Here is a 27,643-nt window from a genome sequence, read left to right as displayed (position 1 = left end):
TTATGAAAAGGAGTTATAAACTGTTCATCAAAAACTGTAATGCCTATATGACTATGAATGTGAATAGCACTGGATCTGATATTAAGACAATATGAAGTAAATGTTAAGAACATGGCTTTGACTGGTAGATACAAGTTCAGTTCTAGCTTCTGTACTTGTGTCCCCCAAAGTTCATGTGTTGGAAACTTAATCCCCTATTCAACAATGTCGAGAGGGGACTTTTAAGAAGTGATTTGGTCGTGAGGGCAGAGCCCTTATGCATGGATTAATGCCATAATTGCTGCAATGGGTTCCTGATAAATGCTGCAATGGGTTCCTGATAAAAGGATGAATTTGACCTTCTTACCCTCTCTTGCTCTCACCTTCTGCACCATGGGAGGACACAGCAAAAAGGTCTTGAAAGATGCTGGCACCTTGATATTTGACTTCACAGCCTCCAGAATGGTGAGAAACAAGTTTCTTTTCTTTATAAATTACCCAATATGTGGTATTCTGTTACAGAAACACAAAACAGACTAAAACAGGGACATTACTTAACTTTGGAATTTAGTTACTCTCACTCACCAACATCCACCCATAAATAGAGATAATAAATACCTACCCCCACTAGAAAGCATTAAGTAAGGTGTAATTTTAAACCCTATGACTGATTTGTGATAAGAACCCAATAAAACTTTGTTAAGCTCTCTTAACGCTACCTCACTATTTTCTCTTAGGAATTTGCAATTTCTTTTTATAATAGTTGATATTATTGAGTTGGGAGGCAAATCACCGTTAAACTATATGGTTTGCTTCTGTCACAATATATGCTTCAGTTAAGAGAGCTCTGGAAGGTACCTGTGTCCTGTATTGGTGAAGAAAAGGTTCTTAAGGAATATTGGAATTTAGCAGGGATGCTAAAAACATCCTAGAGAAAATGGTGAGCCAGTGGCACCATGGAGTCCTCACTCCAACTCTTGCTTATAGTGTTTTTGTTTGTTTGTTTGAGACAGAGTCTTGCACTGTCTCTCAGGCTGGAGTGCAGTGGCGCAATCTCGGCTATCCCGGTTCAAATGATTCTCCTATTCTCCTGCCTCGGCCTCCCGAGTAGCTGGGATTACAGGCGCTTGCCACCATGCCCAGCTATTTTTTGTAGAGACAGGGTTTCACCAAGTTGGCCAGGCTGGTCTTGAACTCCTGACCTCAGGTGATTTGCCTGCCTCGGCCTCCCAAAGTGCTGGGATTACAGGATGAGCCACCATGCCCGGCTGCCTTTTTTTTTTACCTTTTTTTTTGACATGGAAAAGTGGGTTTTCATTTTTCCAAAAATTGCACCAAGGTAAAAGCAAACCTCTAGTTGATGCGGGTGTGTTGCGTAGGCATTAGCAGTACTGCCTTCACTATGCGCTCATTGGACATACTGCAACCCCAAGAAAAGGATGGTTGCATGTAGTCTAGTTTAGGTAAATCAAATTTGGAAGGACACGCACCAGATTATCAAGTTTTCAAAGCACTGCAATTGTTTTATTTATTTTAACATGTAATTTTAGACATATGGGGTAGGATATCTTGTCATGTGTACAGTGTTTTCTGAAATGTACCACATAAATTGAAGAAAAAAGCTGAGTAAGGACAAAGAGGTTGAGCTATGTACTCATCTCAGATAAATATATGAAACCTTTGAAATTATGACCAGTACTGTTAGATTTATGGCAGTGAGTATACACCCCTCACTCTTTGAGAGAGTGGCTCTCACTCATAACTTCTTCTTTATATTTATCATCTTTATATTCATATGGCATCTCTATTTTCAATGTCTTACAAATTTCTCCCTCTCCTGTAACCCTTTAGGCTGAAATTTCACATGTTTCATATCAATTCAGAAGCAAATTCTTTCCTGGGATGTGGAACCTATCTGTTCAGCCATTTCTGAGTTACCCAAGCATGAGAAAAATGTTTAGGAAATTCGTCAAGATCCACTTTTTGTGTGTTTAAATTTAAACATCCAGAGCTGTTGTACACATTCGGTAAGGAGAAAAAATATTCTTTGCTTTGAAATATAATTGGTTGAGCTTTACTGTCCACATTCTGTATACATGGAATGTGGTTATAGAGAGATGTGTTGAAATTTTGCAAAATCCTTTGGGTTTCCAGACCCTCCATACATGTTGTACTTAGAAAAATGTTTTTTTATTTCTTTTTTAGTCTTAAACTGGCATTTCTCTAGAAAAATTTGAGTGTAACAGCTCCTGTCTGGCTGTATTGTCAAACAACAGAAGTTTTATTCTATAAAAATTAGAAAAATTAGGATTAAAAAATTTATACATATATAAATTTAAATATATATATAAACTCTTGGGCTTTGGTTCTTGTTTTCTTGTAGATAGGAATATTTGTGCTGTTGGTAGCAACTTTCAATAAAATATTATTGGGTAGTAGATAGTGTCTTAGTCTGTTTTCTGTGGCTTATAACAGAATACCTGAACCTGGGGTAATATACAAATAAATGAAATTTATTTATTGTAGTTCTGGAGGCTGGGAAGTCCAAAGTTGAGGACACACATTTGGTGAGTGCCTTCTTGCTGGTGGAAACTCTGCAGGCTGAAGACGGCACAAGGCATCGCATGGCAAAGGGGCTGAGTATGCTAGCTCAGGACTCTCTTCCTTTTGTCATAAAGCCAACAGTCTCATTCCCATGATACCCATTAATCCACGAATGATTTAGTCTATTTATGAGGGACGAGCTTTCATGATCCAACTACCTCTCAATACTGCCACACTGGGGATTGTTTCAACGTGAATTTCAAGTGAGTACAAACATTCAACCATAGCATTCTGTCCCTGCCCCCCCAAACTTATGTCCTTCTCACATACAAATACATTTATTTCATTCTGATAGCCCCAAAGTCTTAACTTGTTTCAGCACCAACTCAGAAGTCCAAAGTCCAGAATTTCATCTTCCTGTGAAATCAAAGCAAATTATCCACTTTCAAGATACAATAATGGTATAGGCATAAAACAGACATTCCCATTCCAAAAGGAAGGAATAAACAAAAAGAATAAAGCAGCATGCCCCAAGAAAGTCCAAAACCTAGCAGGGCAGACATTACATCTTAAAGCTGGAGAATAATCTTTTTTTTTTTTTTTTTTTTTTTTTTTGAGACGGAGTCTCGCTCTGTCGCCCAGGCTGGAGTGCAGTGGCGGGATCTCGGCTCACTGCAAGCTCCGCCTCCCGGGTTCACGCCATTCTCCTGCCTCAGCCTCCCAAGTAGCTGGGACTACAGGCGCCCGCCACTACGCCCGGCTAATTTTTTGTATTTTTAGTAGATACGGGGTTTCACCGTTTTAGCCGGGATGGTCTCGATCTCCTGACCTCGTGATCCGCCCGCCTCGGCCTCCCAAAGTGCTGGGATTACAGGCGTGAGCCACCGCGCCCGGCCGAATAATCTTTTTTGACTCCACATGCTGCCTCTTGGACACACTAGAGCAACAGTTGGGCCCACAAGGCCTTAGACAGCCCCACGTCTATGGCTTTGCTGGGTACAGCCCATACAGCTGCCCATACAGGTTGGAGCCTGGTGCCTGAAGCTTTCTCAAGTAGATGTTGCATGCTGTTGGTGACTCCACAGTTCTGGGGTTCTGGTAGTGGCCCTGTTCCCACAGCTCCACTAGGCATTGCTCTGTTGGAAACTCTCTGCAGCAGCTCTGACCCTACAATTCTGCTTAACATTGCCTTAGTTGGAGCTCTCTGAAGTGCTCTGCCCTTGTTACAAGCCTTTGCCTGGACCCAGGCTTTCAGCAAAAATCCTTTGACATCTAGGTGGAGACCCCACATCTCCACAGCTCTCGCTTTCTGCAAACCTGAAGAATTATAATGGCATCATATGGATGCCATTAAGGCCTATGGTTCTCATCTTCTTGAGTGACAGGTCAATTCACACCTAAAGCTTCTTGAGCCACAGCTGGCATGTCCAAAAAGCACTGTACCAGAATTTGGGAAGTAAAGACCTGAGAGAGACCTTGGCAGCAAGCCCATGAAAGGTGCCTCATGTCTGTCTCCTGAAACCATTCTGTCCTCCTGCCTCTGGGTCTGTGATGAGAGGAACAACTCAAAGTTCTCTGAAATGCCATCGAGGTCTTTCCTTCTCGTAATGATACTTTCTTCCTTTACTAATCTCTGGAACAAAAGGTTGCTGGGCTACACCCTTGGTTTCCTCTCCCAAACACACCTTTTCACTCTTCACATGGCCAGGCTGAGAGTTTTCCAAATCTTTCCACTTTGCTTCTCTTATGATTGTAAATTCCACCTTTAAAGTTTTTTTCCCCCTCTCACAGCTTGATGTAAGTGGTTAAAAGTAGCCATGCTGCAGCCTGAATGCTTTACTGCTTAGATATTTCTTTGGCCAGATACCCCAGTTTCTCTCTCTCAAGTTCAGCCTTCCAGAAAGCCCTCAGGCATAGAACAGTTCAGCTAAGTTCTTTGCCAATTTATAACAAGGATGGTCTTTACTCCATTTTCTTGTACCTTGTTCCTCAGTTCCATCTGAGACCTTGTCAGAATGGCCTTTACTGTCCATAGTTCCATCAGCATTCTGATTATGACCATTTAACCAATTTCTAAGGAGTTCCAAACTTTCCCTGTTCTTCCTGTCTTCTCAGCCCTCACTAGAACCTAGGCTTTTTCTAGACTGCTGCTTCATTCTTGTAGCCTCTGCTCATTATCCAGTTTCAAAGCTGCTTCTCCATTTTCAGGTATTCGTTTTCGTTAACACCCCACTCCCGGTACTAATTTCTGGTCTTGTCAATTTTCTGTTGCTTAGAACAGACTACCTGAAACTAGGGTGATTTATAAAGAAATGAATTTATTTCTTACAGTTCTGGAGAATGAAAAGTCCAAGGTCAATGGGCCACCCTGCTGGTGGGGACTCTGTGCAGAGTCCCAAAACAGTGCAGGGCATCACATGGCAAGGGGGCTGAGCCTGCTAACTCAGGTCTCTCCTTCTCTTCTTATAAAGTCACTAGTCCCACTCCCATGATAACCCATTAACTCATTAACTCATGAATCTATGATTTTAGTGCCCTGAAATACTGGGAACTTAGAGAATAATAAAGAAGTAAAGTAGGAATAGGTAGATGGGGTGGAGAGGAGGAGAAAGAGAGCAGAGATTCCTTCCTTCTGACCTAGCAGACATTCCCAAGACATATGGACTTGTTCCAGTTATATATTGCTGCATAACAAATCACCTCAAAACTTAATGGCTTAAAACAACAATTTTTAATTATTATCTTCACAGCTCTGGGGGTTGGTTAGCCAGTTTTGCTCAGGGTCTCCAATGCAGTTGCAGCATCTAGAGCTAGCATCATCTCTCACTCATGTCTGGCACCTAGTCTGGGAAGATTCTAAGATCCAGGGCTAGAACAGCTGTAGCTCTTTGGTCATCTCCTTTTTTCTTTACATGGTCTTTCTGCATGGTTTCTCCAGCTTCAGGGTAGCCAAACTTCTTTTCAGGCAGCTCAAGGCTTCAAAGGTAAGTGTCCCAAGGGAGAGAGCCAAGTGCAATCTGCATTGCCTTTTCTAACCTAGTCTCAGAAGTCAAGGCAGTCACAAGTCCAATCCAGGTTTAGGGGAAGCAACAGACTCCACCTCTTGATGAGGGGTGCACCAAAGAATCTGTGGACATATTTTAAAACCACCAGAGAACTTCACACGCCTCTCTGGCAGAAAATCCAGGACAGAATAATGAGTCATTCACGAAACCACAAATTGCTTCACTGTGGTTTCCCTTTGGCTATGGGGGAATAGTGCAGTGTTTAAAGGCTCCTGCTCTGGAGTTAGGCTGCCCGGGCTTGCCTCTGCCCTAACACTTACTAAACCTGGAACCTTGAGCAGGTCTTGGTACCTCAGTTTTCTTACCTGTAAATTGGGAACAATGAGAGCTAACAGTTGTTGAGCACTTACTAGGTGTCAGACATTGTCCTAACTGCATTATGTCTGCTCTCCTTTTATATGTAAGATAACTCTATGAGGTACTTATCTATTAATACTTCCTAAGTCGTAGGATTGATAATAAAAGAGGCATCTTCCAGGTCTGTAGTGTGGATCAAATGAGACCATCTATTATGTTCGCTCTTGGCATTATTAAAGCTGTTGGGGGAAATTCTAGTGATGCCTGGCCAGTAGAGTGAGCCGTTTCCAGAAATTGACCCAACGTACACAATGCCACACAGCGTGCAGACTCTTCCCAGTACAGAGTGGGAGCCAAGATGAGGGCTGCGAGGGCCAGGTTTCTTGACAGGTGTCAAAATTTCATAAAAAGGCCAGTCATTCCGGTTCTCATTGGTGGCTATGGGTACAGAACCCGGAACAATCCTGGAGAGTGGGATTACAAGCACCGTTTTGAGTTTGCAGAAGGAGAGTGTTTATATAGCTTCTCTGGAAAAGGAAGCCATGACTCCGGGCGGTCGGAGAAGGTCTGCCGGGAGTACACCTGCCCTCTGCCTGAAGCGTCCCCAAGTGTCCCGGGCCCGCGTCGTTGCCGGATGCACAATGCTGACACCCTTCCCGGGGGCTTCCAGTGTATTCTGCCTCCTCTTGTGTTCCCGTTGCCACCCTTAGCTCCCTGACTCTTCCAGCCACCTTCCCCTCCTCCCTCTTCCCTGAGGTGCCTCCTCGGGCGATTCCAGAGCGCCCATCTTCCCAGTCCGGGCAAAACCCGGAGAGGTGGAATCCCTCGCCCGGAGCGCCCCGGCGGCCACTGGGCATGCTCCGTTGTCAGGCAAGTTCGGGGCTGCAGGCAGCTTGCGCGCCGCGCGGATTCCAGCTGCGGTCGCGCGTACTCCTCCTCCCAAGTAGGGAGCGGGCGCATGATGGCGGCCGCGGCGGCAGCGGCTGCGGGGAGCTCCAGCAGCGGCGGCGGCGGCGGCGGCAGCGGCAGCAGCAGCAGCAGCAGCGACACGTCCAGCACCGGCGAGGAGGAGAGGATGCGGCGCCTCTTCCAGACGTGCGACGGCGACGGGGACGGATACATCAGCAGGTACGCGGGGAGGTACGAGGAAACCGACAGGAGCGAGATCAGTCCCTCCGCGCGCCCTTGACCCCTGCTCTGCCCCCTCGCCCCAACTTGCGGCAAGTTGCTCAGAAGCTCGCGGGAAAAGTTGGCCGCGACTCCGAGAGCGCGTAGCCGGCTCGGCCACGAAGGCCGAGGGGACTGCTCTGTTCGCCTTGCGGGGGTGCCAGTTGGTCCAACTTTTCCCAGCGCTGTCTTTGTCTAGGCGTTGGGAGACATCTCCTTAGGATGCGCACTCTTCCGGGGGCTTGGAGTGTTCTTCCCTGTGGGAAAAGGAGTTCTGGCCGCTTGTCCCAGGTAGGAGGGGCTGCCCCACAGCCTCGGGGTCCTGGGCATCAAGATGCCGCAGCACGGGGCAGCGATCTGCCCGGCGGCTTGGTGGACACCCCAGGGCCGCACCGGGAGGAGATGAGCTAAGCGACAGCCTCGGACAGGGAAATAACCTGTGAAGAAACTTTCTTGTGCCGCAGAACCCATGAATTCCAAACTTCAGAGCCCAAAGAATGGGTATCGTTTGCCACCCAGTATTGATTTAAACGCAGTAGCCTGAGAGGAACGAAGCGCTCAGGAGCAAACTAGGGCTAGACCCGACTCCTACCCGGCTCTGTGCGCTGACCAGGTGAGCTTCGGCGTGGCTCCGGGCGCCTCCGCGCCTCCACTCACAAACAAACTTTGGGGTGTTTGCTTCGGATCCCCCGCACTTCCTACAGAGGCGGTATTTAAGCTTCCTGCCTCCCGGCTTGGCCAAATAATTACTTCTGCCCAAATTTGTGTCACTTAGACTCTTGTGGTGAAGAAGGCAATCGCAACATTTTCTGGTATGCTTCTATTGAATGGTTGACACCGGCCATTGAAGACTTGGTATCCGTGGAAATTTGAATTGCCTTGGATGAAGGAGCAGCCTAAGTTGTGCATTACATGTTTCTTTAGTCTATGTCTTGGTGATGCTAAAGATCGTTTCTGAAAATCCGGGGCTGCTTCCTGATTGTCCCTGCCTACCTAAAAAAAAAAAAAAGAAAGCAAAGTGCGGAATTTTTCCCTTAAAATAAAAAAAATTATTTATTTGGGACTCAACGCAATTTTGATCATTCTTAGGTGAATTTTTATTACTTTGCTAAAGTTTTACTGAGAAACATTAGGAAGATATCAGAAAACTTGATGGAGTAATTCTGTTCGGAAATGAAAATAATATGTAATTCTGATTGACTCCATGCAAATTTCTATCTGGAAGTCTCGTTATTTTGGTTCTGGGAGTAAAAGAAATTTCATTATATAGTTTTCCTTTTTGTTGTTTTCCTACTTGAAAGGTTATTATCTCATTTGCAATAATAAAGGCAAACTCCAACTTTGGATACAATTTTTTTTTTTTTTAGACAGAATCTCGCTCTATCACCCAGGCTGGAGTACAGTGGCGTGGTCTTGGCTCACTGCAACCTCCGCCTCCTGGTTCAAGAGATTCTCCTGCCTCAGCTTCCCGAGTAGCTGGGATTACAGGTGCCCACTACCACTCCCGGCTAATTTTCGTATTTTTAGTAGAGAAGGGGCTTCACAATTTGGCCAGGCTGGTCTCGAATTCCTGACCCTAAGTGATCCGCCCGCCTCGGCCTTAGGAAGCGCTGAGATTACAGGCCTGAGCCACCGCTCCCCGCATGGATGCAAAAAAGTTTAATTTCACACGGGCAAGAGTGCATACAGAAAACTAGCAGCGTGCTATCCTTTTCTAATTTGGCCTATTAATATATTGCTTTATCTGAACTACACTTTCTATATAAATGCTCACATTATTTTCGGTGATTCTACCCGGGAGGATAATGAATTCTGTAAGCGTAATTTGAGTAAAGTGGGTGGTGATAAAGAAGCCGTTTTGGATTAGAGTAGAAACTGGCTGGGGCAAAAGTGGAAAAAGTTGTTAACATTCCTTGAGCTGCATTACTTTAATGTGTCTGCTTAAAAGTTTCAAGGTATGTGTAGTAATGAACCCTAAATCATAACTTTAACTGTGGGTGGAGCTGCCCTGAAAATTATGCTGTGGCAGAATTGCCATGTAGGAGAAGTTTAGGGATGGCAATCTAGGGCAACAAGGAACTTGTCTGGAAGTGTGTTTACCTGGTAAGCACAGTTTTACCTGGAATTTACGTTTATGTGGTAAGACTTGGGGAATGGGGCTAATGAAGGTAAGGGGCATTAAATGATTCCCTCTCTGAAGCCACTTTTCTGTGCTGCTTTCATTTAATGACCTGTACTTACCACTCTGTAGTGGGTGATGTGGTTTGGAGGGTTGTGCATTCCTGTTCTATCAGACATGAGAGTTGGACTTTTTAACATTAAAACCTTAAAAACTTTGGATTCATCTAAAGACGTTAAATTTATGTTCCTGGTAGACAGCTGTATCTGTTAGAATTTCAGATGACTATATGTCATCACAGTAACCTAACCATAGTCAAGTAAGGGTTGGCTTTGTCACCTAGTAGAAATCTGGAGGTAGGCTATCTAGGTTGGGGCAGCAGCTCTGCGGTGGTGTCAGTCCCCAGCTACCTTCTACCTTTCTCCAACACCATTTTTCACATAAAGCATTCATCCTCATGGTTATCTCATAGTCCAAAGGTGATTGCCCTGTCTCCCTCTTCATCCCCAAATTCTAGGGAAGAAGATGTAAAAGGAAGTGGAAATAAGTTGTGCCTGTATCATTAAAGCAGAGCTTTCCCAAATCCCTTAATTGACATCTTATTGGTCAAACTACATCACTTAACCATGCCTACTTCAGTAGAGTCCGAGGAAGCATATAATTCAACTAGGCACATTACCTCCTAAACAAAATCTGGGTTCTGTTACTAAGAGCAGGAAATAGATATTGGGTGGGCAAGTAGCGGTTAATACCTATAATAAACCCCCCATCCCATGATAATCCACATTCAAGTATATTTGCTCTGGTCCTCCGCTGAACCCTCATTCTAAACAGGAGTAGGCTGGAAATCTTAAGTGTGGGGGAAGGATAAGTGGAAGAGAAACTGGGCCGTGAGGGGAAATGTCAGGGAGGTAAGGGGTGGTGCTTTGTGCTTTCAATATTCTCTTGGCCCAGTCTTCCTATCAGGCTGACAAAAAAGGCATCAGCTAACTAGATTCTTGGAATTGCTGCTTCTGCCAAGGAACTTTAGCCTATAAAAGGGACCCAGAATCATCCCCATCAATAGTTAAGGTAGAACAGAAAGCTATGATCAAGTAGCTCCAAACTGCGGCTGGGACCCCGCTGGATTTGGGCAGCAGAGTGAGACCACCGTAAGCTCTTTCAGTGCATTTCATTAACCTTACAATGACTTTACCACATATTTTATGGTACTGGATTTTTTGGACCCTGCATACCATATTATAGAAGGTGGTGGAGGTTACTCTATTTGTTGAAATTATTTTCCCTTTGGAATTTTAAAGCTTTTTGTTTTTACCGTTCAATATAAGAAACTGCTTATGTTGAACATACCTTTGACAAATATTGAAAGCCAGTGCTTAACATTTTTGAGTTCCCAAGTCTCAGCTCAAATGTTGATGCCTTAGAGAGAGCTTCCCTGACCACTATATCAAAATAGATTTGCTTTATCCTGCCGTTATTGTCCATCATAGTACTGATTGCTTTCTTTCAAAGTGCCCTTTACAACTTATAATTCCATTTCTGTTTGCTACTTTGCCTGTTTATTGTCATTCTGTCACTAAATGTAGGCTTCCTGAGGGCAGAAATCATATCTGTTTTCTCAAAAACAGTGTACTCAGTACTTAGCACAGTATCTACCATGTAGCACACAATCAGCAAATTCTGATGAAAATGTGACCAAGAATAAACAGTGGTATGTTCATGTATATTGGAAAATGTTTCAAACATTTTCATTTTCAGATATTTTCCATATTTATGTAATATTTTAAATATGTATATTTTTAACTTTTATTTTAAATTCAAGGGTACATGTGCAGATTTTTTCCATAGGTAAACTTGTGTCGTGGGGGTTTGTTGTACAGATTATTTCATCACCCATGCCTAGTACCCATTAGTTATGGGTACTAAGCCTAGTGCCCACTATAGTTATGGATACTAAGCCTAGTGCCGACTAGTTATGGGTGCTAAGCCTAGTACCCATTAGTTATTTTTCCTGATCCTCCCCCTCCTTCCAACTTCCACCCTCTGATAGGCCCCAGTGCGTGTTGTTCCCCTCTATGTGTCCATGTGTTCTCACCATTTAGCTCCCGCTTATATGTGAGACCATGTGATATTTGGTTTTCTGTTCTTGTGTTAGTTTGCTAAGGGTAATGGCCTCCAGTCCCATCCATGTCCTTGCAAAGGACGCGATCTAGTTTTTTTTTTATGACTGTGTAGTATCACATGGCATATACATACCACACTTTCTTTGTCTGGTCTATCATCAGTGGGCATTTAGGTTGAGTCCATGTCTTTACTATTGTGAACAGTGCTGCAGTGAACATACAGGTGCATGTGTCTTTATAATACAACGATTTATATTCCTTTGAGTATATACCTAGTAATGAGACTGCTGGGTTGAATGGTATTTCTGTCTTTAGGTCTTTGAGGATATGTGTATATTTTATTAAAGATATTTTTTCTTTAAAAATAACTTCTTTTGGGTTATATAAAAGATACTCTTGTTGTTGAAAATTTGGAAACATATAGAAATATACAAAAATAAGATCAAAATGATCTCTAATCCCATAACCAAGGGATATTATTTCTATTTTCCCAGTGATATATCTGCATCATGCCATTCCTCTATGGGTACATTAAAAATGATTGGATAAATGGAAAAAATCACATGTACATGGACAGGAAAACTTTTTGTTAAGATGGCAATACTTCCCAAATTGATTTACAGAATCAATGCAGTCCTTCTCAGAATACCAGCTGCTGTTTTTTGCAGAAATTGATGAACTGATCTTAAAATTCATGAGGAAACTTAAAGGACCCAGAAGAGTCAAAACAATCTTGAAAAAGAACAAAGTTGGAGGATTCATGCTTTCTAATTTCAAAACTTGCTCCAAAGCAACAGTAATTAAGACACTATGGTACTAGCATAACGATACACAAATAGGTCAATGGAATAGAATTGAAAGTCCAGGGATAAACCTACATATTCATGTCAATTGATTTTCAACGAAAGCACCAAGATTAAGAATGCCAAGGTCAAGGGTAAAATGGGGGAAAAAATAGTCTTTTTGAGAAATGATATGGGGACAACTGGATAGTCACATATAAAAGAATGAAGTTGGACACTTTCCTCACACCATCTACAAAAATTACCTCAAAATGTATCAAAAACTTAAATGTAAGAACTATAACTATTAAACTTTTAGAAGAAAAAATAGAGCTAAATCTTTGTGAACTTCGATTTGGCAATGGATTCTTATATGTGACACCAAAAGCACAAGCTACAAAAGAAAAAATTGTTAAATTAGGCTTCCGCAAATTTTTTAAGTTTATGCTTCAAAAAACACTATCAAAAGAGTGAAAGACAACCTGCAGAATGGGAGAAAATATTTACAAATTGTACATCTGATAAAGGACTAGTATTTAGAATTTATAAAGAATACTTAATAATAAAAAGACAAATAACCCAATGTAAAAATGGACAAAGGATCTGAATAGACATTTCTCCAAGGAAGACATACACATAGCCAATATGCACACGAAAAGATGCTCAACATCATTAGCCACTAGGGAAATGCAAATCAAAACTACCATGGGAATTCTACTTTACACCCACTAGGAAGACTATAATCAACAAGTCAGATAATAAGTGTTGACAAGGATGTAAAGAAATCAGAACCCTTCTATATTGCCGATAGCAATGTGAAATGATGCAGCTACTTTGGAAAACAGTCTAGCAATTCCTCTAAAACATAAACATAGAATTGGCGTATGACCCCAGCAATGCTACTCCTAGATATACAGCTAGGAGAACTGAAAATATATGTCCACCCAAAAACATAAATGAATGTTCATAACAACATTGTTTATAATAGTCAAAAGATGTACCCAAATGTTCATCATCTGATGAATGAATAAACAAGATGTGATGTATCCATGTAGTGGAATATTTTTCAACCATAAAAAGGAATGAGGTACTAATACATGCTATAACAAGGATGAACCTTGAAAACATTAATGCTAAGTGAAAGAAGCCAGTCACAAAAGGCCACATATTATATTATTTCATTTATGTGAAATGTCTATAGAGATAGAAAGTGGATTAGTGATTACTCAGGTTTGTGGGTAATGGGAAGAATAGATGAATGAGAGCTAAAGAGTATAGGATTTCTTTTTTTGAAATGACAAAAGTGTTCTAACATTGGTTGTAGTGATAGTTTTACAGCTCTGTGAATATAGTAAAAAACAGTGGGTGAACATTATGGTATATGAATTATATAACTCAACAAAGCTGTTAAAAAAAGATTTATTTTTTATTTTTTATTTTTTTGAGATGGAGTCCCACTCTGTCACCCAGGCTGGAGTAAAGTGGCACAATCTCGGCTCACTGCAATCTCCGCCTCCCGGGTTCAAGCGATTCTTCTGCCTCAGCCTCCTGAGTAGCTGGGACTACAGGTGTGCGCCACCACGCCCAGCTAATTTTTTTGTATTTTTAGTAGAGACGGGGTTTCACCATGTTGGCCAGGCTGGTCTCGAACTCCTGACCTTGTGATCCACCCGCCTCAGCCTCTCAAAGTGCTGGGATTACAGGTGTGAGCCACCGCGCCTGGCCAAAAAGATTTATATTTGTTGTAATCTCATTATTTATTTAATTAATTTAATTATTGTTCTGTTGTTGACTATTTAGATTGTTTCTAATTATTTCTTTTAGAATTTCATTAAATCTAAGTTGCCAAAGACTAAGACAAACCATTACTTTATGTACCAATTAAACTATGGCAAAATAATTCTTACCACTTAGAATTTTAAAATTCTTCCTGAAAGGACTCCCTTAAAATTGTTGAGTTATAGATTTTTATCATATTGCACTCTTGTACATATATAAAAAGGGAAATAGGCTAATCAAATTGTTTAAAATAATTCTAAAACTTCTTCATATTCAAATTGTTTAAAATAATTCTAAAACTTCTTCATATTTAAAATCCAAGTCTTGGCCAGCTGCAATGGCTCACGCCTGTAATCCCTGCACTTTGGGAGGCTGAGGCAGGTGGATCTCTTGAACCTAGGAGTTCAAGACGAGCCTGAGCAACATGGAGAAACCCTGTCTCTACAAAAAAATTACAAAAATTACCCAGGCATGGCAGCTTGCACCTGTAGTACTGGCTACTCAGGAGGCTGAGGAGGGAGGATCAGTTGAGCCTGGGAGGTCAAGGCTGCAGTGAGTTGTGAATACCCACTGCACTCAGCCTGGGCAACAGAGCAAGACACTGTCTGAAAATAAAATAAAATAAATAAAAATAATGAAATCCAAATCTTCCAAATCACCTTTTGATTTAGAGTACTGATGTTGTGTTTCACATCAACCTCTGTGACATCAAAATATTTAGGGATGCAGCAAACTATTTTCTATAGTATTTTCTTCTAAGATGCCTACACCCTTTCTGCAAGTATTGATGTTGACACTCCTGATCTTAATGGAAGACGTTGATGGAAGTTTCTCAGACAATAACCACGACTTTTATTCTTGAGGAAGCATCGAGGTTTGCAGTTATTTAGTCCATTTTAGAAGGAATAACAACCTGATTCACACAGAACAAGCAATGGTAACTGTGTTGGCACAAGGCCAATAAATTTTAAGAAACATTCAGATTTCACAATGTTAAACTGTGCATCTTAGAAGTTTTGAAATATGGTATTTTATATAATGCTAGAATAAACACCTTCATTGTTCCATGTACTGTGTTATTAGAGAATTAGTCAAAACTGAAGTTATCAGTGAAATGTATGACCTAAAATTGCTTGCAGGCGCTTTGCTCAGTCGTCCTTAAGCAACAGCAGCAACAACTATAAACAACAAAAGGTTGTCAGATTTAATGGAGAATATGGTAGTTTGCTTATCTAAAGAACTACAAATTTATATACATCTTAAACATAATCTACTATTCTCCCTTATTCAGTGTTAGCAGAAATTGAACTTGGAGAGGCAAGAGAGAAAAGTCATCTAACTTTTAAAGGGTTGAAAGAGTCACTTGAACCAAAGGTAAATGGAACAGAAAGACTATGACCTCTAGATTCCTTGTCTCATAGCAAAGTAGATTCTCATGACATAAGCATAAAACCTGCAATATATTTATTCTTCTTGGAAACAGTAACTCTGGAACACAATTTTTGAAAGAGAGCCTTTGTGAGATTGAAATGGCAGCATAACCAAAGCCAAGCATTAAAGAAACTGAATAGCACTGAAAGCCTCAAAGCTACAATGAAACCATAGTGTCACTAAGAAATATATAATCTGAACCTAAGTGGGAGAATAAAGAAGAAAAAAGAAAAACCATTAAAATCCTAAGACCAGCCATAAAGCAATCAGCCTACCAAGATAAGTCAAAAATATGATCCTATTTCATATTTTAATTAGATTAAAAAAACACCCTACAGAACTCCCCTTGAGGTAGCTCAAGATAAAAAGTAGAGCCCTACTTAGGATTGTAAAGTAACATGGGAGACAATTTGGAAGAGGACACATTGGCGTTATGAACATTCACATACAAGTGAAGCCATATTACTTTTGAGAAGAGCTAACCGATATGCAGTATTCTCTGATTTACTGACATGCAATAAAAGGAACCCATTTAAAGTGTATATTTCAATGAGTTTTGACAAATTTATATACCCCTTTAACCACCACCAAAATCAGGATTGATTTTCATAACACAAGTTTCCTGTGCCCCTTCCTAGTCAATTGCTACCCCAGACCCAGTCCCCTGCAACCACTGATCTGCTTTCTGTCACTGCAGATTAGATTTGTCTTTTAGTATTTCACATAAATGGAATCATACAACATGTATTATTTTTGCATCTGACATTTTTTGAGCAATGTCATGCATGTGAAATTCATGCATACTTTTACATATATCAGTAGTTCCTTTTTATTACTAACATTTCATTGTATGAAGGTGCCACAATTTGTTTATCCGTTCATTAATTGATGGACATTTAGGTTGTATCTAGTTTGAGGCTATTGTAAGTAAAGGCATTATGAACATTCACATACAAGTGAAACCATATTACTTTTGAGAAACAGGATTATCTGTTTCAGATAAGATACAGCTAACACGTATGGAGTGCTTACCAGATATTCATATCGCTTATGTAATGCTCACAGTAGCTATGCGAGATAGATAATGCAGAAACACAGGGAAAGAAAGTGGATAATCCTGACAAATAGTGTGAGAAGCCATAATGATAAGAAGGACTCTCTGTGAGACTGGCAAGAGACTGCTTTGCCTGAGGAACATGATGCCACATTATTGGATCACAGATTCCTCTTATCTAAAGACCCTTAAAGCCCAGAGCTTCCAAATTTTAGTCATTTGTCCACCATCTTTACTCTTTCCATATCTCTGACCTCAATGTCTCCCTTGAATTTCAGACAGCTATATGCAGTAACTGCATACTTGACTTCCATGTCTGATGGCATCCCAAGCTTATCACATACAGAACCGAATTCCTGACTCCTCTCCCCAGGCTGCTCCTCCCTTAGTTTTCTCCATTACAGTAAATGGCTACTCCCTTGCTAGAGGTTCAAGTCAGAAACTTGAAGTCTTCCTGCATTTTCCTCTTTTCAAATGCTACATCCAACCCATTGGCAACCCTACCAACTCTTTAAAATATACCTAATATCCAACCGTTTCTTACCATCTTCCTTTCTACCACTGAGGTCCAAACCATCACTTGTTTATCACCATGTCTATTATAACAGACTCCTACTTCTACTCTTGCTGCCTCTACATTCCACCTAAGGCCCAGGCATACAGCAGCCAGTAACCAACTAAAGTGTCTGTCAGATTGTGTTATTTCTCTGCAGCATAGTGGAAAGAGCCCTGGATCAGAGCCAGGAAAGTTGGGTTCCCTCTAGGCTCTGCCACTATGTGAGTTGGCACCAAACCTTGCCTCTGTCTTAGTGTCATCACCAAAAAGTGGAGTGGTATTGCATTTTTCATATTGTATTCGTACTGTATTTTTCACCTCTAGAAGTTCCATTTTAACACATGGAGCATATTTATAACTTTTAAAATTCTTATCTGCCAATTCCATCATCTCTGTCATTTCTGGGTTTATTGATTGATTTTTCTCATGGTTATGGAACTGTTTTCTGCTTCTTTGCAAGCCTAGTTACATTTAATTGGATGCCAGATATATAAACTTGTTCGGTACTGGTTTCTGTATTGTTTTCCTATACTTTGTTGTGGCTTGCAGTTGAGTTTGGCTCTTTTGGAAGCTTGCCTTTAAGCTTTCTTTGTTTGGCATGACTAGAGGAGTCTTTAGACTAGGGCTAATTTAAATTAGCCTACTCTTCACATCTCTGGAGCTCCTTTTATCTAAAGCATTCCTTCCTCTTCCCTCTGCACCACAAATTTAATCTGCCTTGGCTTCCCTGAATTTTGTTCTCTCTCTCCTCAACTCGGTGAGACCACTGGGTGCAGTTTGGATTTTCCCTCCTGTTCTGCAGCATATAGACTGCCTCCAGGCAGCAAGTTGGTGTAAATGTAGGCTCACCTTGCTTGTTGCCCTTTACTCATGGATTGTATTCTTATGCTGTTATATGATGTCTGAAAATCATTATTTCATGTATTTGGATTTCTAGCTGTTTTAGGTGAAACGGTAAATCCAGCCTCTGTGACCTATGATTATGACCTTCTTTCGCTTTGTACTGAGTATTTCAAAGTGAGCCTGCCTATTTGGAAGCACCCTGTTTGTTATTAAGTTTATATATAATTTAAAAAATAACATTTACAGAAATGCCTCAACCAACTTACTGGTTTTTGTCTTGTTTTGTTTTTAGCAACTACCTACAGTCTAGGCCCACATATCTCTTCTTTTAATAGCTAATATTATTGAGTGCTTACTGTATACTAGGCTGTGCCAAGTAAGCACTTAGTCTGCATGATCTCATTTAATACTCATTCCTTTGAGAAAGGAATTTTTATTATAGAATTTGAAGATGAGAAAAACAGGCTCAGAATTATTGTTATTTGCTCAAGATTCCACAGTTAGTAGGACCTGAATTCAAACTCATGTTTAACAAATGAAGGTCATGACCACTACTCAATGCGGCTTTTCACATACATTTCTTTAAGTTATATTTAACTAGCTTTATTGAGATATAATTGACGTACTACATAATTAACCCATTTAAAGCATACAATTCAATGGTCTTATATATTCAGAGTCGTGTAACAATCATTGCAACCAATTTTAGAATAGTTTCATCACCTCAAAAAGAAACCCTGTACCCATTAGCAGTCATCCTCATTTCCCCTAACCACTCCGGCCCTAGGCAACCACTAGTTTGCTGCCTCTCTAGACTTGCCTGCTATGGATATTGTACATTCTGTGGCCTTTTATTGCTTGTGTTTTGATATTGTCGCTAAAAAGTCTTTGTCTAACCAAAGGTCAGAAATAATTTAAATGTTTTCTTCTAAGAGTTTTATAGTTTTAGCTCTTATATTTAAGTCTATGATCCACTTGAGTTAATTTTTGTGTATGGTGTGAAGAAAGGATCCAGCTTCATTCTTTTGAATGTGGATATTCAGTTGTCAACAGCCATTTGTTGAAAGCACTCGTCTGTTTTCCCATTTTCTTGACACCCTTGTCAAAAATCAATAGACCATAAATGTAAGAATATATTTCTGAACTCTCAAGTCCTTTCCATTGCTCTGTGTGCCTATCCTTATACTAGTACCATACTGTCTTGATTACTGTTGCTGTGTTCTAAGTTTTGAAATCGGGAAGTACGAATTGTCCAACTTTGTTCTTCTTTTCCAAGGTTTTTAGTCTGTGGTTGGTCCCTTGAGTATTCATGTGAATTTTAGGATTAGTTTTCGATCTTTTCAAAAAACACAGCTGAGAGTTTTATAAGGATTGTGTTGAATCTGTAAACTAATTCGTTCACGTGCATTTTTAGTAACTATGTTTTTCAGGGTACTTTTGATTTTTCCTCTGGCCCACAGGATCATTTTACAGTCTTTTTATTTTGAGTCAACATATCAGTGGAAGTCTAAAGTAATAATGGCATATGTTTACACAAACCTTTATAGTTTACAATCAGACCATGCATTATTTTATGTAATCTTTGCAACAGGAATTAGTATTTTCATTTTAAGGTGAGGAGCTAAGGTAACATAGCTTCTTGAGGGTATTTCCCACCATACATGCGGCCTAGCTAACATGAGAAAACTTATTTTCCCTTAAAGTCTTAAAGTCCTTTACTTTTTAATTTACCAAAGCTCTATGGTGAGGGTGATTTTTCATTTTATAACTGCCTTCTTAGCATCAGTAGGAATGACATTTAAAATGTTGAGATTTGCATTCTAAATGAAATGACATGGGAGTCTCAGCTGGAGAGACTCTCTCTTGTTCCATAAATTGAAAAATCTCTTTAATTCTTAGTCTCAGAGTGGAAGCCATATGGAGAGAAAGGGCATTTCCTTAGAGAACAGTTAACTGTCAGCTTCTCATTGTCATTTCAAAATGCCAGTTTAAATATGTAAATGAGTCATTACTAAATTTATGCCATTGATTATCGATGACTCTAACTGATGGGAGAAAAAAAGATGGGTAGGTAGAAGGACTCTTTGGACCTATTACTTTTTCAAACATTTGGATCCCTGTCACCTAATAAAGTGAAAAAGTAAATTGAACAAGTTTCTAGATTGACTAATAAGCATTAAATGTTTGTCTGATGTAACTCTCAGTTGAATATTTACTTGTGAAACTGTTGCTTGGAAAATTCTAGATAGATGAGCTTTGTGTTTAATTATTTAAAACATTCACATCAGTGATATACCAGATACTTGAAAGAGCATTTATACTTAATGTTGGTGTTAATTGGGCATCTATTCAATATTATGGCAAGTGACATTGTTTAGTACACCTGTTGTCTATTATTTAAAACATCCACAGGTCCAAATTTGTAGTATAAATGAAGGAAGTGAGAAAGTAGATGGGGTGAAGGGAAGCATTTTCATAACGATGTGGCTGCATTTCCTTTAAATATCAGAATTCTGCATTTATTTATAAAATTTCAGAACTTCTTTCTGAGAAATGAGAAGCTTAACAAAATATTCTACATTAGAGGTTGATGCTTTCAAGAGAGGGCTTTATTTGTTCAATCTTATGTGATGTAGTCTTAAGCTGACTTTACTTCACAGTAATAAACAGGATGAAAGTCACTGATAAAATTGTTGGGGAGGTGTTTCCTCTTCTGAAAATGTGTTGGCAATTTTATATTTATTATAGGCAAAGGATGAAATCAGTGCGGCTTATCCCTCTCTCCCTTTTTGGTTTCCTAAGCTACTTCATCTCTAACCAGGATTATTATCCTAGTATTCTAATCTGCAGGCTTGCCCCCTCCAGGACTCTCGGCACTGACACTGAAGTCATTTTTCTATAACACAGAACTGAGCAGGCAGCTCTTCCTAAAATCCTTCAACAGTTGCCTGTTCCTTACAGATAAGTTCAGACTCCTTCTAGGGGCATTTAATTTAAGGCCCTGCCTGTCTGGCACGGTGACTCCACTCCCCCTCCAGCATTATCTCTTGCTGCATTCCTCTTTCACTGCAGCGTCCCAGGCTGCTCCAAGCATCGGTGCTGTGCACATGCAGCTCCCAGTAAGTGCCTTTCTCTCGCCCTTACCTGTCTGGTGAGCACCCTCTCATTTTTTTCTAGGCTGTTTCCATATAGCTCCTCCCCTCTGGACACTTTCCTGATGCCCTAGTACCTTGCACATACTCCTACACCAGCACTGCTCACACTGGATATTCTCATAGTTTTCATTTCCTTTCTCCCCATACTCAAGGCAGAGACCATGCTTTCTTTTCTTTTGCCTTTGTAACCTCAGTGCCCAACTCTTAATAGAAACACTTCAAATGCTTGATAATTTTTAGAAAAAAGTTTATCAACTTTTTGTCCAATTTAGCTGAGGAGTTTATATTTTGAAAATACATATTAGGTGCATTTTACCTAATCTAAAAGATCAGTGTGACCAAAATTCAGTGCCCCTGCTACTAACTGGTCGTGTAACTTTAGATAAGTCTCACATCACTTTCTAATCAGTATCATTTTCTTCTTCTGGGATTTTTTCTGTCAGCTTTTCAGGCCTGAAATACTTTGATTTTTATGGATTGTAGGTACCAGCTCAGGATTTTAGTGGTAGCATATTCTTATGGAAAGGCATGCTGTTTAAGTTAGTCTCTATTGGGCAGCTGTCTGGTTGTTTATGAACTAACCCTGATAAATCCATAGTTTCTCTTTATTTGTAGTTGTTATTATCCAGTTCCTTTAATTCCATGCAGTAATAGTATTTTCAAAAGCATTGAATTCTTGGTTAGGATTTTTTGTCAATTCCTAAGTGAAGGTTATGAGATGGAGTAAACCTAAAAACTACTCATAATTTTGTATTATAGTTGTTACTGAAAAGTTGATGGACAGTTGCCCACACAGTATTTTGTTTTGTTTTGTTTTGTTTTTGTTTTTGTTTTTGTTTTGAGAAAGGGTCTTGCTCTGTCATCCAGGATAGAGCATAGTAGTGTGATTATAGCCCACAGCAGCCTCACACTCCTGGGCTCAAGTAACCCTCCCGCATCAGGCTTCCAAGTAGCTGGAACTAGAGGCATCCACCCCCATGCCCAGCTAATTTAAACATTTTTTCTAGAGATGGGGTCTTACTGTGTTTCCCAGGCTCGTCTCAAACTCCTGTACTCAAGTGATCCTCCTGTCTTGTCCTCCCAAAGTGCTCGGATTACAGGTGTGAGCCCCTGCACCCAGCCAGTTTTATCTTGACTACTCCAAGGTACATAAAAGTTAGAAAGAGATTCTTAAATTAATATTTTGTAGTCTACTTTTCATAAGCTATCCCTCTATGGTTAGTTACTGGGTAGTCACAGTAAACTAACATTTAGAAGTAATAATATAATAAAAATAAAGGAACTTACCCAATACTAACTTGTATTATGGTAATTTCTATTCTGCTTCTTTCGCCTGCTAGACTGTAAGCATCATGAATGCAACAATGTCTTTGTATCTCTCACACTACCTGACATCATGCGTTGATTAGATGCTAAAGCAACATTGAATGAATGAACCAATAGTTTAATACTACCTTAAGACAAAATACGGTGCTTCACACTCCCAAATAGCATTTTGATTTTTCTCATTCCTAAAATAGAGGAAAACTCCTGTACCATGTTAATCTGTCTCTAACCATATGCTTACATGCTTCCAGAATTAGCATCTGTGAAATAATATGGATGAGGAAATCACAAAAAATATTGCATTTTGATCTTGTAAATTAGTTAAAGCTCCTTATTTGTTAATATAAATTATAGCTTCTCTAAAAGGAATAATTTGCTATTCACAATCAATAGTTACTTTACAGATTACTTCCTAAATCTTCCATACTTACAGAATTTGATAACTGTCAGAGCAGAACAAATTTAAGAATATTAATTATTATTGTTAAACATTCATTGAATGTACACTGTAGGCACAGAGGAATACAAAGTTGAATATATTATAACTTGTGACCTTAAGGAGTATTTTGTCTTATGCAATAAGTATACACATGCATAAACAAATAAAAATGCAAACTGCTTAGGAAGGTTCAGGAAAAGGAGAATAAACAATCAACTAGGCTTTATTGGTGAATATTATTCTATTCAGGGGTAAGTTTGTTGCAAGAAGTATGCACCATGCTCAGAATGGCCACACAGAAGATGGCCGAATAGGAACAGCTCCGGTCTACAGCTCCCAGCGTGAGCGACACAGAAGACGGGTGATTTCTGCATTTCCAACTGAGGTACCGGGTTCATCTCACTGGGGAGTGCCAGACAGTAGGTGCAGGACAGTGAGTGCAGCGCACCGTGCGTGAGCCAAAGCAGAGCAAGGCATTGCCTCACCCGGGAAATGCAAGGGATCAGGGAACTCCCTCTCCTAGTCAAAGAAAGGGGTGACAGACGGCACCTGGAAAATCGGGTCACTCCGACCCTAATACTGCACTTTTCCAACGGGCTTAAAAAACGGCACACCAGGAGATTATATCCCTCACCTGGCTCGAAGGGTCCCACGCCCACGGAGTCTCACTCATTGCTACCACAGCAGTCTGAGATCAAACTGCAAGGCGGCAGCAAGGCTGGGGGAGGGGCGCCCGCCATTACTGAGTTAGTTGTTTGATTAGGAAAACAAAGCGGCTGGGAAGCTCGAACTGGGTGGAGCCCACCACAGCTCAAGGAGGCCTGCCTGCCTCTCTGGGGGCAGGGCACAGACAAACAAAAAGACAGCAGTAACCTCTGCAGACTTAAATGTCCCTCTCTGACAGCTTTGAAGAGAGTAGTGGTTCTCCCAGCATGCAGCTTGAGATCTGAGAAAGGGCAGACTGCCTCCTCAAGTGGGTCCCTGACCCCCGAGTAGCCTAACTGGGAGGCACCCCCCAGTAGGCGGACTGACACCTCACACAGCCAGGTACTCCTCTGAGACAAAACTTCCAGAGGAACGATCAGGCAGCAGCATCTGTGGTTCACCAGTATCCGCTGCTCTGCAGCCACCGCTGCCGATACCCAGGCAGAAAGGGTCTGGAGTGGACCTCTAGAAAACTCCAACAGACCTGCAGTTGAGGGTCCTGTCTGTTAGAAGGAAAACTAACAAACAGGACATCCACACCAAAAACCCATCTGTACGTCACCATCATCAAAGACCAAAGGTAGATAAAATGACAAAGATGGGAAAAAAACAGAGCAGAAAAACTGGAAACTCTAAAAATCAGAGTGCCTCTCCTCCTCCAAAGGAACACAGCTCCTCACCAGCAGCGGAACAAAGCTGGACAGAGAATGACTTTGACGAGTTGAGAGAAGGCTTCAGACGATCAAATGACTGAGTTACAGGAGGAAATTCGAACCAATGGCAAAGAAGTTAAAAGCTTTGAAAAAAAATTAGATGAATGGATAACTAGAATAACCAACGCAGAGAAGTCCTTAAAAGACCTGATGGAGCTGAAAACCAAGGCACGAGAGCTACGTGACGAAGGCAGAAGCCTTAGTAGCCGATGCAATCAACTGGAAGAAAGGGTATCAGTGATGGAAGACGAAATGAATGAAATGAAGTGAGAAGAGAAGTTTAGAGAAAAAAGAATAAAAAGAAACGAACAAAGTCTCCAAGAAATATGGGACTATGTGAAAAGACCAAATCTACATCTGATTGGTATACCTGAAAGTGACAGGGAGAATGGAACCAAGTTGGAAAACACTGCAGGATATTATCCAGGAGAACTTCCCCAATCTAGCAAGGCAGGCCAATATTCAAATTCAGGAAATACAGAGAATGCCACAAAGATACTCCTCGAGAAGAGCAACTCCAAGACACATAATTCTCAGATTCACCAGAGTTGAAATGAAGGAAAAAATGTTAAGGGCAGCCAGAGGGAAAGGTCAGGTTACCCACAAAGGGAAGCCCATCAGACTAACAGCTGATCTCTCGGCAGAAACTCTACAAGCCAGAAGAGAGTGGGGACGAATATTCAACATTCTTAAAGAAAAGAATTTTCAACCCAGAATTTCATATCCAGCCAAACTAAGCTTCATAAGTGAAGGAGAAATAAAATACTTTACAGACAAGCAAATGCTGAGAGATTTTGTCACCACCAGGCCTGCCCTAAAAGAGCTCCTGAAGGAAGCACTAAACATGGAAAGGAACAACTGGTACCAGCCACTGCAAAAACATGCCAAATTGTAAAGACGATCAAGGCTAGGAAGAAACTGCATCAACTAACGAGCAAAATAACCAGCTAACATCATAAAGACAGGATCAAATTCACACATAACAATATTAACTTTAAATGTAAATGGGCTAAATGCTCCAATTAAAAGACACAGACTGGCAAATTGGATAAAGAGTCAAGACCCATCAGTGTGCTGTATTCAGGAAACCCATCTCATGTGCAGAGACACACATAGGCTCAAAATAAAGGGATGGAGGAAGATCTACCAAGCAAATGGAAAACAAAAAAAGGCAGAGGTTGCAATCCTAGTCTCTGATAAAACAGAGTTTAAACAACAAAGATCAAAAGAGACAAAGAAGGCCATTACATAATGGTAAAGGGATCAATTCAACAAGAAGAGCTAACTATCCTAAATATATATGCACCCAATACAGGAGCACCCAGATTCATAAAGCAAGTCCTTAGTGACCTACAAAGAGGCTTAGACTCCCACACAATAATAATGGGAGACTTTAACACCCCACTGTCAACATTAGACAGATCAACGAGACAGAAAGTTAACAAGGATACCCAGGAATTGAACTCAGCTCTGCACCAAGTGACCTAATAGACATCTACAGAACTCTCCACCCCAAATCAACAGAATATACATTCTTTTCAGCACCACACCACACCTACTCCAAAATTGACCACATAGTTGGAAGTAAAGCACTCCTCAGCAAATGTAAAAGAACAGAAATTATAACAAACTGTCTCTCAGACCACAGTGCAATCAAACTAGAACTCAGGATTGAGAAACTCACTCAAAACCGCACAACTACATGGAAACTGAACAACCTGCTCCTGAATGACTACTGGGTAAATAGTAAAATGAAGGCAGAAATAAAGATGTTCTTTGAAACCAACGAGAACAAAGACACAACATACCAGAATCTCTGGGACACATTCAAAGCAGTGTGTAGAGGGAAATTTCTAGCACTAAACGCCCACAAGAGAAAGCAGGAAAGATCTAAAATCGACACCCTAACATCACAATTAAAAGAACTAGAAAAGCAAGAGCAAACACATTCAAAAGCTAGCATAAGGCAAGAAATAACTAAGATCAGAGCAGAACTGAGGGAAATAGAGACACAAAAAACCCTTCAAAAAATTAATGAATCCAGGAGCTGGTTTTTTGAAAAGGTCAACAAAATTGATAGACTTCTAGCAAGACTAATAAAGAAGAAAAGAGAGAAGAATCAAATAGACACAATAAAAAATGTTAAAGGGGATATCACCACCGATCCCACAGAAGTACAAACTACCATCAGAGAGTACTATAAACACCTCTATGCAAATAAACTAGAAAATCTAGAAGAAATGGATAAATTCCTCGACACATACACCCTCCCAAGACTAAACCAGGAAGAAGTTGAATCTCTGAATAGACCAATAACAGGATCTGAAATTGAGGCAATAATCAATAGCTTACCAACCAAAAAAAGTCCAGGACCAGAAGGATTCACAGCCGAATTCTACCAGAGGTACAAAGAGGAGCTGGTACCATTCCTTCTGAAACTATTCCAATCAATAGAAAAAGAGGGAATCCTCCCTAACTCATTTTATGAGGCCAGCATCATCTTGATACCAAAGCCGGGCAGAGACACAACCAAAAAAGAGAATTTTAGACCAATATCCTTGATGAACATCGATGCAAAAATCCTCAATAAAATACTGGCAAACCGAATCCAGCAGCACATCAAAAAGCTTATCCACCATGATCAAGTGGGCTTCATCCCTGGGATGCAAGGCTGGTTCAACATACGCAAATCAATAAATGTAATCCAACATGTAAACAGAACCAAAGACAAAAACCACATGCTTATCTCAATAGATGCAGAAAAGGCCTTTGACAAAGTTCAACAACCTTTCATGCTAAAAACTCTCAATAAATTAGGTATTGATGGTATGTATCTCAAAATAATAAGAGCTATCTATGACAAACCCACAGCCAATATTATACTGAATGGGCAAAAACTGGAAGCATTCCCTTTGAAAACTGGCACAAGACAGGGATGCCCTCTCTCACCACTCCTATTCAACATAGTGTTGGAAGTTCTGGCCAGGGCAGTCAGGCAGGAGAAGGAAATAAAGTGTATTCAATTAGGAAAAGAGGAAGTCAGATTGTCCCTGTTTGCAGATGACATGATTGTATATCTAGAAAACCCCATTGTCTCAGCCCAAAATCTCCTCAAGCTGATAAGCAACTTCAGCAAAGTCTCAGGATACAAAATCAATGTGCAAAAAATCACAAGCATTCCTATACACCAATAACAGACAAACAGCCAAATCATGAGTGAACTCCCATTCACAATTGCTTCAAAGAGAATAAAATACCTAGGAATCCAACTTACAAGGGATGTGAAGGACCTCTTCAAGGAGAACTACAAACCACTGCTCAATGAAATAAAAGAGGATACAAAGAAATGCAAGAACATTCCATGCTCATGGGTAGGAAGAATCAATATCGTGAAAATGGCCATACTGCCCAAGGTAATTTATAGATTCAGTGCCATCCCCATCAAGCTACCAATGACTTTCTTCACAAAATTGGAAAAAACTACTTTAAACTTCATATGGAAACAAAAAAGAGCCCGTGTCGCCAAGTCAATCCTAAGCCAAAAGAACAAAGCTGGAAGCATCACG

The 27,643-nt window shown here is 40.5% G+C and overlaps 1 protein-coding gene and 1 pseudogene across 1 annotated transcript in view, besides 1 other annotated feature; one reads left to right on the top strand and one right to left on the bottom strand.

The window, feature by feature from the left end:
- RNU4ATAC13P (RNA, U4atac small nuclear 13, pseudogene) lies at nucleotides 1,298-1,423 on the bottom strand (annotated as a pseudogene).
- Nucleotides 6,612-6,906: an enhancer, noted in NCBI's record as "tiled region #13961; HepG2 Activating DNase unmatched - State 4:PromP". NCBI's record gives its function as "activates a minimal TATA promoter and a strong SV40 promoter by Sharpr-MPRA in HepG2 cells {active_cell/tissue: HepG2}" and the evidence as "EXISTENCE:reporter gene assay evidence [ECO:0000049][PMID:27701403]".
- MCC (MCC regulator of Wnt signaling pathway) overlaps nucleotides 6,805-27,643 on the top strand; it is a 466,348-nt gene continuing 445,509 nt past the window's right edge. The window contains exon 1 of the mRNA NM_001085377.2: nucleotides 6,805-7,013. Coding sequence (NP_001078846.2) covers nucleotides 6,844-7,013 — 170 coding nt within the window. The 5' untranslated portion in view covers nucleotides 6,805-6,843. The remainder of the gene's footprint in view (nucleotides 7,014-27,643) is intronic.

Source organism: Homo sapiens, chromosome 5 (genome assembly GCF_000001405.40).
Source record: "Homo sapiens chromosome 5, GRCh38.p14 Primary Assembly".
Classification (NCBI taxonomy): Eukaryota; Metazoa; Chordata; class Mammalia; order Primates; family Hominidae; genus Homo; species Homo sapiens.
Note: the sequence above shows the minus strand (reverse complement) of the source record. Positions and strands in the feature narration are given on the sequence as shown.